Raw genomic sequence first — 17,509 nt, forward strand, 5'->3', positions numbered from 1 at the left:
ATACCTGGCTTTTTAAAATTTATTATTTTTGTAGAGATGGGGTTTCACCATGTTGCCCAGGCTGGTCTCGAACTCCTGGGCTCAACTGATCCACCCATGTCAGCCTCCCAAAGTGTTGGGATTACAGTCCTGAGCCTCGGTGCCCGGCCCACTCCATCATTGGAATGGAAATGATGACTGCTGCCCTGGACCCGCAGCCCATCAGAGCCAGGCCAGGCAACTACTCTCCAAAGCTCCTGCTCCCTGTTAGATCCACACACTGTCCAGCTGACCCATGCCTCAAATGAGGACCAAAGCCTTTTGTTGGGTAGCTACTCCCAGGAGGTAAAGGAAATAAATGTTAAAGGATGACCCTCCTGGCTGAAAATGGAGAAACCCGAGGCAGTTTTCTGCTGAGCCCCAAGGCAGACCCAGCCCACTCAGTGCTTTTCCTAGCATATTGGCATCCAGAGAGCCAAGCCACCAACATGCAGAACTGCCAGCTGCAGGAACAGCTGTAAGACAATCACCTGCTTTACAAACTGAAGGTTAGAGGATGAGCTCTTCCACAGACACACATTCATTACTATTTATGGGCTGCACAAACTCATATGCACACATACAGTCACTCACCTCTACACAAACAGAAGTGCACTACCTAATTTAAGCAGACAAATATGAAGCTGGAGAAACAACGCAAAGAGGACACTGAAAGGACGCCCCTGACAAGGGAGAACAACGTGCAAAGGCTTAAGAAAAGAAATGGAATTTTAAAGAATAATTTGAAGGACAAGAAAAACAAGTTTGTAATAGTCAGGCAAACAAGCTTTTCCCGCCTGAGACAATACTAAACAGAAAGTCAAGAGGCAGACAGCAATTAAATGGAAAGTCTTTGAACAGCAAAACAAATGTGGCTTCTAACTAGTCCAGCCCCCAGCTGGCAAGGTGGCTGGACTGGAACATCCCTGAGCCAGTGGCCATTTGTACAATGGGGATAATATCTCCCCTATGTTTTGAAGTCATGCCTAGGGCCAAGCAAAGAGGGACTGCTCTCAACAAACCCAAGGCACCCAAGAAAAAAGGTTATTAGAGGAGGCTGTTGGAGGGTAGAGGGTTCACAATGGATCCAAGCCTCTGCCTAACCAGAGAGCTACAAAGAGCTACAGAGAGCTACAAAATCCACCGTGCAGCCTGCAAGGGAGAACAGTGGCAGTACAGATGTTAGCCCTGCCAGAGGGCACAGGGAGCCAAGAAGGGCTCCACAGGCCCAGCTGGGAATAGGCACCTGGAAGGAAGACAACATGGGATGGGATGAAATGGGAAGGGCAGTGAGGAGCATTCCTAGCCCTTTCTCTGTACTCCCAGAGGTGGAACACGACCTACTCCATTCCCACTCCAGTAGAGAAGAATACAGATCTTCAAGAAGGGAGCTAAACAAACTAGCAAAAAAAAAAAAAAAAAACTGCAATCACAGCGACAAAAGTTAGTGCATCCAATGAAAAGAAATCACATGACACAATCGGGCATGGTGGCTCACACCTGTAATCCCAGTACTTTGGGAGGCCAAGGCAGGCAGATCACTTGAGGTCAGGAGCTCGAGACCAGCCTGGCCAACATGGCAAAACCCCATCTCTACTAAAAATACAAAAAAATTAGCCGGGTGTCATGGTGCACGCCTGTAATCCCAGCTACTCGGGAGGCTGAGACAGGAGAATCTCTTGAACCTAGGAAGCAGAGGTTGCAGTGAGCCGAGATCATGCCTCTGCACTCTAGCCTGGGTGACAGAGTGAGGCTCTGTCTCAAAATTAGAAAAAAAAGAAATCACATGACAAGCAGAGTGACTGAATAAAAAGCCTAGCCTGGCCCTCTCCAGATCTCTCCTACTTGGCCACAGCTTGCAAAGAATCTGAATGCTAGAAGTGAGCTTAAGGCTCAATCTTTATTTGGACTGCTAAAGACCCAGAAGACATGGCAGGCACTCAATACCTACATAGAGAACAATTGGAATTCAATGCCATTAGGCGTGGAACTTATCAATGGATCCAGGAAGGCTGTGGCAACCTCATACCTGTTGAAGACGAAGAGGTAGACAGGGCTAAGGCAGGGCAAGAGTTTCAGTGCTATCAACACAGAGGTGATCATCAAAGCAACAGGAGCAGAGCGACTATCTTTCTAGGGAGAAACCTTAGAGAGAAAAGGACAGCGGACCAAGCATAGTCTTCAACTCATGGCTGCACGTTAGGAAAAGGGAGCAAGCAAGGAAACCAGAGGAGCAGCCACATGATTAGTGCAGACCTACACAGGTCAAAAGAGTGGAGAATCCTGAGAAAATCCAGTTGTAGGCAACAATGTCAGGAGATCAGTCACTGGATTTGGCAATGAGGCAGTCAGAGGGCCCTTCAAAAGAGTGTCCACAGATGAAGACATAGAGGCACAAGGGTAGGCCACTCCAAAAGGCTCAATGGGTCCACTAAATTTTGAAGATTTGAGGCCACATTTCTAAATGTGATTTTTCAACATTTCACTAAAGTCTTAATGAGAAAAGAGAAAAAAAAATTCCTCCATGGGTGCAACAGAGGGATTCTTCAATACCATACATAAGTTCCTATGATTGATGAAGAGCTACCCCACAACACACATGACCTCAGGACAATGATGGGCATCAGTCACTCCAGCAGAAGGAGGGGGCAGGGAGGTAAAATTTCTAAGAAGAAACTCCCATCAGACACAATTCTACCTTCTCTGGGCTCTCAGCCATGCCTCAGACTGCCCGGAGGCTTTAGTCCTTCCACTTTGTGGAAATGTAATAATAACTCCGCCATGGCGGAGACAGAGAAATACCCTAGTGCCACCCCTTCCCCCAGCATTCAAATATACTATCTGGGCATCCCAGAGGAAAATTAATTCTGTCAAATAATAATTATAGTCAACATTTATAGAGAACTTTCCATGTTGCAAGCAAAGTATTAGTTCATTTACTCTTCACGACAACCCTCTGAGGTGGTTCCAATATGCTGCTCATTTTACCCATGAGGGGACCAAAATTCAGAGAGGTTAAGTAACGTGCCAGAGTTCATGCAGCCACAGAGCAGTAGAGTCAGAATTCAAAGCCAGTTTGGCCCCAAAGCCATGCTCTTTCCATAGCCGTGCTGTCTCTCGAGGGGTCTGTGAAATCAGCCACAGAAACTGGACTCATCATTTTATTTGTTCTGCAACAGTATAAATAAAAAGGCACATTTTGTGTCAGGACAGAAATTTTTTTTTTAATTTTATTATTATTATACTTTAAGTTTTAGGGTACATGTGCACAATGTGCAGGTTTGTTACATATGTATGCATGTGCAATGTTGGTGTGCTGCACCCATTAACTCGTCATTTAGCATTAGGTATATCTCCTAATGCTATCCCTCCCCCCTCCCCCAACCCCACAACAGTCCCCGGTGTGTGATGTTCCCCTTCCTGTGTCCATGTGTTCTCATTGTTCAATTCCCACCTCTGAATGGGTGCTGGGAAAACTGGCTAGCCATATGTAGAAAGGACAGAAATTTTTAAATGAGCCTACTGGGGCCCTCTTGTGGAAAGACCCACCTCTACCATGTTCTAGTTTCTGCACCACACACAAACACACACCACACACACGCGCACACACACACATACCACACACAGGCACCTTGATTACTAAATGCCCTTGGCACAGACCAGCCAAGGCATAGGCACAGGCATTCAGGAAGAAGAAATCCCTTGACTCAGATTGCAGCCAGGCTTCCTTTGTGACTTGATCCCTTAAACTCCTATCACTCAAGCTTCCTAGCTATACACGAAGCAAAAGCATCCCTGCTCCCCTTCATGGAGCCCAGTGCCAGGCACACACACACATATACACACACACACACACACAAACCACAACCACACACACCACGTATATACACACACCCAACTGTCTGGCAAGAACTTGACACCTCGCCCCTCCATGCAGAAAATACACAAGACAGAAGTATTTCTACATGGCAGACAAAGACGGAGTCTTCTTTGGTGAATGGGGCTTGCCTAAGCATACCAGCAGTTGACCAGATGAATCAGAGGAATACTCAGGTCCTAGTCTGTACTTTCCAGTAGGTCCTAGACTGTAAGCTCCTAGCAAGATACAGACAAGGGGACCTACTCCTTATACCTGATCCTTGACCCTGCCTGAGGTACCGGGAGTGATCAGCCCATGTCTGATAACAACCAAGGTTACAAGAAGCTCCATTCCCTTCCAACCCACTACAGTGTAATAGGAAGAATGCAGGCTCTGGATTTTGAGCCAAGTCTCCCCTACTAGCTGTGTGACTTTGGGCCAGATGCTTAACCTCTACAAGTTTCAACCCCTTCATCTATAAGAGGACTTGATAGTAACTATTTAGTATGACTGTCTATATTAAATGAGATGACATAGAGCATATAGCACAGTGCCTGACACAAAATGAGGGCTCATAAAGCTTATAGCTCTCACTACTATTATTAGAGAAAATTCTGAGCAAAGAATAGGATAAGCAAAAGCAGCGAGGGCTTCACCCCCATACAGAACTGTCTTCTGTTCTGACAACCAAGCCCCTCTTTGGAGACTAGCTTCCCTGAGCCACAAGTCAGCCCACACACCTGGACTATACTCTGGGTGGTTACAGACACATTTCCATTGAAACCTTTAAGCGATGCTGGCTGGCTCTGCATCAGTGCCAGCTGACTGACATCAAACACTTCAGAGTCCCGCTTCCTGATGACTCAGGCCTGTCTCCAAATTCCTGCTGCCACTCTCCTACCTCTAAGGGGGAGTCAGGGAGAGTAGGAACAGCCGGGGCAAATGCAGCTGACCTAGACTGCTGGGACCACTGTAGACAGATGCAGCTAGCATCCAGGGACTAAGGGTCCCAGGGCTTTTCTTCCCTCCCCTTTTAAAATAGTAACTGGATCTCCTGACAGTATGTGCGATGGGCTTTCTCTATAGCCTGCTCCCAAAGAACACCAGGGACTTTCACACCACAGTCATCCAGATACCACGGTCAGGGTTCGAGGGGAGGAGAGATCAGAATTCATCTTTCCTTTCCCCTGATGTCTCTAAGCTTCCAGAAAACATCAGGGCCTCTTAAAGGGGCTAAAATAGGGAAGAAGGTATGATTTCCAGTCCATAGTTCTAAAGGAACTATCTGCTAACTGGTAAGTACAATTTGTTTGCCATTTCTATTGCAAGCATTCAGCACTCACACTCTAAAAGCAAATACCACACAAAGATAATTTCAGCATTAATGTCAGTTCCTTGAGCACACTGGGCACCATACTATGGAACAGAATATACAAAAGATATTGTCACTTGCCTCAGGTGGATGATGTCCTGTTCACATTCAGTGGATAATGTGGCCTTCCACATCTTAGTCTCAGACAGCATAATTATTAAAAAGAAAAGGACAGGCGCAGTGGCTCACACCTGTAATCCTAGCATTTTGGGAGGCTGAGGCAGGTGGATCACATGAGGTCAGGAGTTCAAGACCAGCCTGGCCAACATGGTGAAACCTCATCTCTACTAAAAAATACAAAAACTAGTTGGGGCCGGGCATGGTGGCTTACACCTGTAATCCCAAAACTTTGGGAGGCTGAGGCAGGTGGATCACCCGAGGTCAGGAGTTCAAGACCAGCCTGGCCAACATGGTGAAACCTCATCTCTACTAAAAAATACAAAAATTAGTTGAGGCTGGGTGCAGTGGCTCATGCCTGTAATCCCAGAACTTTGGGAGGCCGAGGCAGGTGGATCACTTGAGGCAGAAGTTCAAGACTAGCCTGGCCAACACGGTGAAACCCCGTCTCTACTAAAAATACAAAAATTAGCCAGGTGTGGTGATGGGTGCCTGTAATCCCAGCTACTCGGGAGCCTGAGGCAAGAGAATTGCTTGAGCCTGGGAGGCGGAGGTTGCAGTGAGCCGAGATCGAGCCACTGCCCTCCAGCCTGGGCGACAGAGCAAGACTCTGTCTCAAAAAAAAAAAAAAGACACTAATTACAACTTTGTAATAATGAGCTAGGCAATAATTAGGGTACTCCTTAAACTAATTGGGGAGCCCCAAGAAAATAGCATTTACTTACAGAAACACTTAGCAACAATACGAGGATGGGTCACCAAGCACAGGACTTGCTACTACCATGTTGGTATCAACTATGTCTTCCAGGTAAGTCAGCAACTGCAACATTTTATTTTTAACATGCCTGAGAGCCCAAGACTATTTATAATACCAGATCCTTAAAAACTTGAAAGGGAGATGAATTTTAAAATGTACACATTTACATATGTGGGCAGAAACACAAAAATCAGATGCCTCTCAACACAGCTCAGGGAGCCATAACTCACGGCTTTCACAATCCCACCGAATGCCCAGAGAAAATCCGGGCACCTTCTACAAGGGATGGTAGGAAGCTGGGTAGGTAGCCAAGAAACAAAGAAACCTAAACTCAGTACTTGGCAGGACAATTAAGGAGCAGAGGATTTTAAATGCATTGTTTCTGACTCTAAATATGGCTACATTTATTACCAATTTGGGATCAGAAACCACATTTAGTTCTGTCATGACCACATGCTAAAAATATTAAGCAGAGTATTGCCTAGGAAACAGCAGTTCTCCCTGCTGCGGCAGCTCCACTTCAGAGCCATCTCTGCCATGGTCACAGGGTTTCCATCCTGTGCTTTGCTGAGAGCACAGTTACAAGCAGAACTGACACTGTCCTGCCAAGACGTCCCCCCGCATTTTAGAAGGCAGCAATAGGAACCAGAGCTAGGGACTGCACAAACTCCTCATCCTCTCCAGGGCTGTTTTAGGTGTCAGTGAAGCTCTATTTCATAGGCCTATAACTAGAATCCATCTGACTGGGAGCTCCACAGCGGGAGGGACAATTGTCTGTGTAACATACCACTGTCTCCTCATTGCCCAGCACTTTTCCTGGCACTCAAAAAATAGCCATTGATTTAATAAAATCAATAATCTAAAAAGAACCATTTGGAAGAGTACAATGGAAAATAACACTGCCATTAAAATAGGTAAAAATATGGACTGTGGTAATACATAAAAACAGGTGCTGGCCAGGCACAATGGTTCACACCTGTAATCCCAGCACTTTGGGAGGCCTAGGTAGGAGGATGACTTGAAGCTAGGAGTTCAAGATCAGCCTGGGCAGCAAAGTAAGACTCTGTCTCTACAAAAAAAAAAAAAAAATTTTTTTTTCATTAGCAGGGCATGGTGATGCAACTATGGTCTCAACTACTCAGGAGGCTGAGGTGGGAGGATGGCTTGAGCCCAGGAGTTCAGGGCTGCAGTGAGCTATGATCACACCACTGCACTCCAGGTTGGGCAATAGCGAGACCCCTATCTTTAAAAGCAGATGCATAAAAAATTGTTGAGTGGAAGTGAAAGCAGCAGAACCTAATGGCATACATATGTAAATTACTACTTTGGAAAGAAGTGTGTGTGGCCACCTCTATGATCACATGTGAACTTAGAATTATGGAAAACTGTGCTCAATGGAATCTTTCACCCTGAAATGTTAAATATCTGAGAAAACACTTTAAAATACATTATTTTCAGCACAGAACCTACTCCCTTATCAGCTGACTTGTTCTGATCTCCTGAATGGCTCAGAGGCCTTGTTCTTGTTCAGCAAACCCAAGATCAGACCATACACTCATCAGCCAAAGGAAACAGAGAACACATGGAAAAAGCCGCAGTCTTAAAGTCCAACTTAGCAACTTGACCCTGTAAGGGCAGTTTCCAGGCTGCATAATCAGAATGGCTGGCTGCCCAGACAGGCGGCCAAGATGGAAGTGTCAAAACAAAAAAGTATGGAAAAGTTCACCTGGCCCAACTTCAAAGCCAAAGCTCCAAAAAGGTAGGAGTTTAACAGGCACTTACTGGCCAGCAAGGTGCCTGTTAAGAAGGGTAGCAGTACACTAATCCTTCTCAAACTCTTCACAAAAACCAAAGAGAAGGGAAACACTTCCTAATTCATTCTATGAAGTCAGCATTACCCTGAAACCAAAGCAAGACAAAGACACTATAAGAAGACTCCAGACCAATATCTCTTATAATATACATGCAAAAAATCCTGAACAAAATACTAGCAAGCCAAAATTCAGCAGCATATTAAGAGAATTATACAACATGATCAAGTGGTGTTTTATCCCAGGAATACAAGAGTGGCTCAACATATGAAATGCAATCAATGTAATACACCACATTAATAGAATGAAGGAAAAAAACCACATGATCATTTCAATGGATACTGAAAAAGCAACTGACAAAATCCAATATCCTTTCATAATAAAAAATACCCAATAAACCCGGAATAGAAAAGAACATCCTCAACATAATAAAAGGCATATATGAAAAACCCACAGCTAGCATCATATTTAATGGTGAAAGACTGAAAGCTTTTCCCCAAAGACCAAGAACACGACAAAGATACCCACTTTCACCACCTCTTTTACTTATTTATTTATTTTTTTTTGAGATAGAGTCTCGCTCTGTTGCCCAGGCTGGAGTGCAGTGGCGCGATCTCGGTTCACTGCAAGCTCTGCCTTCCGGGTTCACGCCATTCTCCTGCATCAGCCTCCTGAGTAGCTGGGACTACAGGTGCCCGCCACCACGCCTGGCTAATTTTTTTTGTATTTTTAGTAGACAGGGTTTCACTGTGTTAGCCAGGATGGTCTCAATCTCCTGACCTCGTGATCCGCCCACCTTGGCCTTCCAAAGTGCTGGGATTACAAGCGTGAGCCACCGCGCCCGGCCACCCACTTTCACCACTTCTATTCAACATAATACTATAAGTTCTAGCCAGAGCAATTAGGCAAGAAAAGAATAAAAGGCATCCATATTGGAAAGGAAGATGTAAAACTATTCTATGTGCAGATGATATATACATATATATGTGTATATACACATATAAATGTATATACATATATGTATATATACATATATAAACACATATATACACACATATGTATATACACATGTGTATATACATATATACACACACACACACACACACACACACACACACACACACATATATATATATATATATATATGGTTTTTTGTTTTGTTTTGTTAAGATGGAGTTTCGCTCTTGTTGCCCAGGTTAGAGTAGCGGGGCGTAATCTAGGCTCACTGCAACCTCTGCCTCCTGGGTTCAAGCGATTCTCATGCCTCAGCCTCCCAAGTAGCTGGGATTACAGGCATGTACCACCACACATGGCTAAGTTTTTGTATTTTTAGTAGAGATGGGGTTTCACCTTGTTGGCCAGGCTGGTCTCGAACTCCTGACCTCAGGCAATCCGCCCACCTTAGCCTCCCAAAGCTCTGGGATTACGGGCATAAGCCACCACGCCCAGCCAATGATATGATCTTATGCATAGAAAACCTTCACAAATAAAACCTGTTAGAGCTAATAAATTCAGTAAAGTTGCAGGACATAAAACCAACACACAAAAATCAGTTGTATTTCTATATCCCAGAGATGAACGATCCAAAAAGGAAACTAAGAAAGCAATTCCATTTAAAACAGTATCAAAAAGAACACTTAGGAATAAATTTTGCCAATGAAGCAAAAGACTTTACACTGAAAACTACAAAACGCTGCTGAAGAAATAAAAGAAGATCTCCATTTCAATTTTTCTGTACAACACATAAATAAATAAAAAGTCATTTTAGGTTCATGATTCAAAGATATGATATTGCTAAAATGATAGTATTACCCAAAGCAATACGCAGATGCAACGCAATCCCTTTCAAAATTCCAGTGGATTTTTTGCAGAAATGGAAAAACCCATCCTAAAATTCACATGGAGTTTCAAGGGACCCTGAATATCCAAAACAATCTTGAAGCAGGAGAACAAAACTGCTGGGCACAGTGATTCATGCCTGTAATCCCAGCTACTTGGGAGGCTGAGGCAGGAGGATTGCTTGAGGCTAGGAACTCAAGGCTGCAGTGGGCTATGACAGTGCCATTGCACTTTAGTCTGAGTGACAGAGCAAGATCCCATCTCTTAAAAAAACAAAAACAAAAAACAGCAAAGTTGAGGGGAAAAAAAGAACAAAGCTGGAGAATTCCACAAGTCCAATTTCAAAACTTACCATAAGGCTAGAGTAATCAAAAGTGTGGTAATGATGTAAGGATAAACATATAGACCAATGGAATAGAATTGTGAGACCAGAATTAAACCCTCACATCTCTATAGTCAACTGATTTTTACAAAAGTGTTATTGAGTAAAAAGGGATTTTTAAAGGACGAAATTTAAAAGGCTAAAACTGGCAGGGTGCGGTGGCTCACACCTGTAATCCCAGCACTTTGGGAGGCTGAGGCAGGCAGATCACCTGATGTCAGGAGTTCGAAACCAGCCTGGCCAACATGGCAAAACCCCGTCTCTACTAAAAATACAAAAATTAGCCGGGCGTGGTGGCGGGCACCTTTAGTCCCAGCTACTCGGGAGGCTGAAGCACAAGAATCACTTGAACCCGGGAGGTGGAGGTTGCAGTGAGCTGAGACTGAGCCACTGCACTCCAGCATGGGCAACAAAGCAAGCCTCCCATCTAAAAAAAAAAAGTTAAAACTATACAGTTCTTAGAAGAAAACATGGGCAAAACCTTCATGACCTTGGATTCGGCAATGATTTCTTAAATATTACACTAAAATCACAGGTGGTAAAAGAAAAATAAATTGAACTTCATTAAAATATTTTTAAAATTTTTGTGCAAAGGACGCGATCAAGAGAATGAAAAGACAAGGGAATGAAACAAAATATTTGCAAATCACACATCTGATAAGGGTTTAATATCCAGAATACAGAAACAACTCCTACAACAGAAAGACAAACAACCTAATTTTAAAATGGGCAATAATCTTGAATAGACATCTCTCCATTGTACAAATGGCCTGGAGGCACATGAAAAGATGCTCAGTATCATTAGTCATCATTAGAGAAATGCCAATCAAAGCCACTTCACACCTACTAGGTATGGTTATAATTATTGAAGAAAAGGAAAATAACAAGTGTTGGTGAAGATGTGAAGAAACTGGAACCCTCATACATCACTGGTGGGAGTATAAAATGTTGCAGCTGCTATGGAAAAGTTTGGTGGTTCTTCAAAAAGCTAAACATAAAATTACCATATGACCCAGCAATTCTTTGCTTAAGTAGATACCCAAAAGATGTGAAAACAGTGACTCAAACAGATGCTTGCATGTGAATGTTCACAGCAGCATTATTCACTATATCCAAAAGATGAAAATGACTCAAACAGCCATCACAGATAAGTGGATTTTTATAAAATGTGGGTGTGGGTGTGGGGGCGTGTGTGTGTGTGTGTGTGTGTGTGTGTGTGTGTGTGTGTGTGTGTGTGTGTATTTCCAATGGAATATTATTCAGCCTCAAAAAGGAATGAAGTTCTGATACATGCTACAATATGAATGAAACCTTAAAACACTATTCTAAGTGAAATAAGCCAGACACATAAAGGACAAATATTGCTGGGTGTGGTGGCCCACTAAAGTGGGAGGATAGCTTGAGCCCAGGGGTTTGAGGCCAGCCTGGGCAACACAGAGAGACCTCTATCTCTTAAAAAATAAATAAAAAAAAAAATAAAGAGGCATCATAATGACAAATTTTATGCTTTGTGTGTGTGTATATATAAGTATGTGAGTGTGTGTGTGTATGTATATGTATATGAGATTGTGTTGTGTGTTTTGGTAGAGATGGGGTCTCACTATATTGCCCAGGGCAGTCTCAAACTTCTGGGGTCAAGTGATTGCCCCACCTTGGCCTCCCAAAGTGCTGCGATTACAGCCATGAGCTGCTGTGCCCAGCCTTCTGCTGTATATATTTTATCATACTAAAAAATTAAAAAACAATGTAAGATTGCCCATGAGTTAGAAATTGTTAAAACCGGACATTGGGTACATGAATACATTATATTGCTCTCTTCTAAAAATTTAAGAAGGCCAGGAATGGTGGCTCACACCTATAATCCCAACACTTTAGGAGGCCAAGGTGAGACAATCACTTGAGCCCAGGAGTTCAAGATCAGCCTGGGCAACAAAGTGAGACCCTGTCTCTACAAAAAATTTAAAAACTCAGCCAGGCATGGAAGCACATGCCTGTGGTCCCAGGTATTCAGGAGGCTGAGGTGGGAGAATCATTTGAGCCCTGGAGGTGGAGGCTGCAGTTAGTCATGATGGCACCACTGTACTCTAGCCTGGGTGACAGGGTGAGACTCTGTTTCAAAAAATGTTTAATAAAATAAAAATAATAAAAATAAACTTAAGAAAGAAAAAAATATCTTTTCTGTAGTTTTTTGGTAGATATTCTTTGTCAAGGTAAAGAAATCCCCTTCTTTGCCTAAACTGCTAAGAGGTTTTATCATGAATGTGTGTTAAATTTTATCAAGTGTGTTTTCTACCTCTAAGATGATCATATAGTTTTACCTTTAACCTATTAATGTGGCTAATTTTATGTATAGATTTTCTAATATGAAACCACCCGTGAATTCTTGGGTAAGCTCAATTTGGTCAGATAATCACTTTTATTTTCTGTTGGATTTTATTTGCCATATTTTGTTGATTCTCCATGTACTCCCATAATTCTCTGTGCAACTATCATAAGATCCACAAAACTGTACTGTAAATATGAATTGCCTGAGTACATGGGACTCCTTCCTCATCCACTGTTTAATCTCTAGTTAGATCTAACACACAGCAAGCACTCAGTAAAGGTATAGCTGATGAACAAATAGGTGAATAAATGGGTGAGTGGACAGACGAACAGATAAGCAAATAAACACCTTAATCCAGAAGAGTGTCACTTGCCCTGGCAGGAGTATAGAGCAGCTCTTTTCAGGCAAGGGGTTTCCCTTGCCTTTTCAGCTCTTTTCAGCTCTTTTCCCAAGGGGTTTCCAACCACTCCAAAGAGGTATCTAATCTGTCTGTGGACAACTCAGTTTGTCTGCAGATCTGTAAGCTGAACCCTACCCTGAGACACTCATCTCACCACTTACCCTCATCAGCAACACTCTACAGATCAGTGCCTGCCTTCACCAACAGGATACAGCCCTGGTATCACAGCACACCACACAGCTTAGATCCTATGCTGGGGTTGAGGGGAAATGTGGCTTCAAACTCAGTGTTCCTCTCAATTTCAGAGTTTATTCCCAACAATCAAAATGGCCTCATCCCAACCCTGATTGGCATAGCAAGAGCCCATCCCATTAACAATTCACTGCCTCAGCACTCCAGAGGAGGAGAGCAATCAGCAAGAGAAACAGCTGAATTATTTCAGCAGCTGTAAATTATGTGTTCTCTCTTCCCCTCCTCCAAGTCCATGTTCAACTGTGCCCCACACCTCCACACTGAACTTGGGTCTGTCAAGTATCTATGTCAACTGCAGTAACCAAACTTAAGTTCAAGAAGCAATATTAAAAAGCACTAATTAGCTGATATTTAAATAACTGTGTTTAATGTCAACAAAATCACACTTTAAATATCCCCTAGTCTATTAGTTGCTTAATTAAATTCCTTAAGATCCTTGGACACTGGCACAGAGCACGCTGCCCTGGGGAGCCGTTCCCAGGCCCTGGCTTTGGCAGGATGTGGAAGGGGAGGAGCCCATATCCCTGGGGAAGTGCCAGGAGAGCCCTGGTTTTCTTCTAGAGTCTCCTAATGAGGTGGCTTCTCTTCACAGCTCTGCTGGTCTCCACAGGGCAGCAAGAACATGACAAATAAATACATTCTGAGCATGGAGAAGTGCCAAACCAGACTACAATTTATTTTTTAAAGTGCATTAAAAAAAAAAAAAGCACACATAAACCCAAGAGAGTTACTTTTCCCATCTGGTATCTGTTCTCTTTAAGAGTGGTATATCACAAAACATTCAGGCATGTGTACAGGGGGTACACAATAGGATTTGTGACAGCAGGTAGGGTCAGGGGGCCCTGCAAGATGCCACCAACCAAATCCCAGCCTGCCAAGAGTCATCAGCCTGCAACTGACAGGGGTACAGCTCAGCCAACAGCAGTGTCCTAGGCTGGAACTTGCAAAGGGACTCTGGGTTCCAGTGGGTGAGCTTGTGATAGGGATACCAGTGGGACCCCAGGAAGTCTCTCCTGCCACAGTAGGCTCCATGGGGATGGCTTGCCAGCCAGCCTTCTCACCAAACCAGATTTGCTGTAAGGGGATGACATGCCAGCTACCTGCCCAGGTAAACATATCCTGGAAACAGTCTGTCTCACTAACTGCCTCCAGGCAGAGCACATTCAGCCAAGGATCAGTAAGCATTAGGAGTCTACATTTTGGGCAGCAGACGCTCTGAACCCAATCCCACCGGGTCATGAATAAGAAAACATCATTTTAAGAGCAACAAGGGTGTGAGAGAGGCCAAGTGGCCGTCCTTTGCCTCACTCTTACAACAAGGGCCCCAGTTCTTTCTAGTTTCCTTACAGAACTACCAACTCACCTCTCAGTAAGTCTTACTTTTTTGTCTCTATCACTCAGCCCCTTCCTACACCTTCTATTTTGCCTAAAGGGCTTGCCCTCCTGCAAAGTAGGAGGCAATTCTTTCCAATTATTCCATCCTGAGTCTCACTGCTCAGGGATCCCTCTTATGGCAGCTCTCCTTAAAACAGCCACTGCAGCCCCTGGTAATGCCAGCGGAAAACACTGGGTAGAAGAAGCTTGGTTAATATCACAGACTCTCACCCTGAAATGCAACCACTCCCGTTAACAACTAGGCACAAACCCTGGCTTCGGAGAAGCCAGGTGCTTGGGTTGTAGCTCACAAAAATGTGAAGAGCACCCAGGAAAAAAAAAAAGAAACTGTGCTGCCCAGGCACATTGTTCACTTACTACCTGTGGTTACACACCCACGCCAAAGCCATTTCAACCCCAGGTGAGCAGTTAACAGTCACGCCAATCTGGAAAAATATATTTTTGCAAAAACATTTTTCATTCTCCCATACAGGACAGCTACCAAAAGAGCAAATATTTGTGCTCTACGAAAAGATGAATAAACCCATACTGCCTACTAGGGACCATACAACAAGTTGCCACCCCAAACACATCCAAACAGAAGATTATTCATCCTTCCACACATATTTGTTTGAGACCTGCTGCAATCCAGACATGTGCCAGGTGCTGCAGATACAAATAGGGGTCCTGTCCTCCAGGAGCTTCCACACAGGCAATGGAGATAGATTGGCAATACACACTCTTAAGGAGAACAGATACCAGATGGGAAAATCGGCAATTACAGCAAACACTGAGTTGAAAAGAGCCCTGACAGAGATGACTCTGAGGCAGAAGACAACAGACGTCTCATTCAGGAGATGGGGTCAGGGAGGACTTCCTAGAAGAGGTGAGCTTTGATGATTAAAAGAGGAAAAGGAATTACAGAAACAAAGACAATAAGAAAGGCATCCTAGGCAGGACAAGAGTGGTTTTTTAAAGGCCTGGAGGCATGAAACTAGGAACATGCATTAATTTCAACAATATATGCTGGAGCAAAGGGCTTATGGAGAGTAGCATGATGATATACAAGACCTCCTTGCCAGACAGGTTAGATAGAGTTCAAACACATAGCTCACTGCACTGTCTTAGCAAATCTCTCCTTTTTAGAACTTCCCCATGGTGAATGAGAGATAAGAGAAGGGAGAAGGAAGCCTGCTATAAGCCTGCAACTTGCATAACACAGTCACCACAGTTTGTGACCTCTGATTATGAATTCATTCCTGGCAGCTCAGTGGTTTGTTAGCTCTTGCAAACTCTCAACTTCTACTTCACTTAATAGAAGGAGCCAGTAAACAGAATTTGATTTGGACTGTATTATCTACCCATAGTGGCCTAAACCCCAGCGGATAACTTCAACAGAAAAGCAGCCTGAGATTTTAGGTAGTCTTCCTGCCATCTCTTCTGGGTGATATGCCTGCTGTACTCTCCTCTTGTATGTTCCACACTTAAGAAGTCCAAAGCTCAGCTCCTGCTCTTCCCTCCACACGTCTCATCCTCCTCCAGGACTGCCTAGTTCTACTGCACACGCTGGAAACCCAAGAGCTCTCAATCCCTCCTCTCCCTTCCCTGTCTTCTATCCCCTACTCAGCCATCATCAACTATTGTCAATTTTATCTACTAAATATGTCCCTCCCCCTATGCTCCTGTTCTCATGCCCAAATTATTATAGCCACTCCCCACTTCTCAGGTAGGAGCAACCGTCGCAAGCTGTCAATCAAGCCAGACCCAAGCAGAGCAGCAAAATGAGGAAGCCAAAGGCACATGGCTTTGACGAATCTCTCATTTGCTCAACTCAGGGTTTCTGGAATACCCAATATCCAGTCTCCTGAACCCCTCCTAAAGGCTCTCAATAAAAGCCACTTTCTTCTTCGGTTGAAGAGAGGCACTCAGGGAGCCTATTCAATAGCAGTAACAAGCTAGAACGTGGGCTGCGGGGAAGGTCTGGTGCTGGCGTGAGTCCTCCGGAAATGTCAACACTTTGGGAGCCTAGCCCAAAGCCAAGCCTTCAATTATGGGAATTATATCCCAGGCAAGGCAAGCTTGGCTCCCCACAGCCCCACCACTCACAGTGCACGGAGACATACCTACACAGCCCCTGAGTTGAAGAGGCTTCATCCCTACTCCCTCTGCCACCCTCCCTTGGCATAAGGAAAACCATTTGGTGAAAGCAGGTAGAAGGCAGCAATTTTCAGGAGGAGGATGCTGGTATTGATAATACCTTGAACATTTTCCAAAATAAAGGACAAAATAGGTATTGAAGAAGAAGGAGAGATCTGACTATGCCTCCCAGCCTCAACTCAATGGAAACCTTCCCTTTACCCCATTCCCAACCATTGGCCCCCACACCAGCCTAGAAAGAAAAAATATATGTTGAATGAATGAAGAAATGAACAAATAGACTGAGGACAGAGGAAGGGGGCAACAGGAGAAAAAGAAGACCCTGCTCAAAACTCTCCTTTTCATTCATTCAGATATCTCCAAGCACCTACCGTGTACTAGTGCAAGGTGCTGGGAACACACAGGCATGCATCAACTGTGAAAGAGAAGAACGACTGGGGAGAAAAACACACTATCTGTCTGGAATGCTGTCTTTCCAAATGCTACTTTAACAACACCTCCTGTTTTTCTGACATTAAAGCCATGCCAAACAGCATACATGCAAACAAAAACTTCACATTTTATTGTATCCAGTACTGTGGGGCCTTGTGGTTTCTTTTCTAAGGAAAAACTCATCATTCATCTCCTTGATTAAAAATTTATCTAATTTGGCTTTCATTAGGTAGGTACAAGGGGAAAACACAGATTCACAGGGAGAACTTGCCCAGCAACAGGACTGTGATGAGCTCCCGCAACTGCACAGTTGGGTCCCAACCCACCACCAAGGAAAGAAAATTAAAAAGCTCACAATGTGGAGTATAAGCTCTAGCCAAAAGGAATTATCTTCCCACAAGCATTTCTGTCGG

At 44.0% G+C, this 17,509-nt stretch overlaps 1 protein-coding gene across 5 annotated transcripts in view; it reads right to left on the reverse strand.

The window, feature by feature from the left end:
- Positions 1-17,509, reverse strand: part of SIL1 (SIL1 nucleotide exchange factor) — a 251,645-nt gene that overhangs the window by 187,563 nt on the left and 46,573 nt on the right. The gene's annotated exons all lie outside the window — the stretch shown is intronic.

The sequence above is a fragment of the Homo sapiens genome, chromosome 5 (assembly GCF_000001405.40).
Source record: "Homo sapiens chromosome 5, GRCh38.p14 Primary Assembly".
NCBI classification, from domain to species: Eukaryota; Metazoa; Chordata; class Mammalia; order Primates; family Hominidae; genus Homo; species Homo sapiens.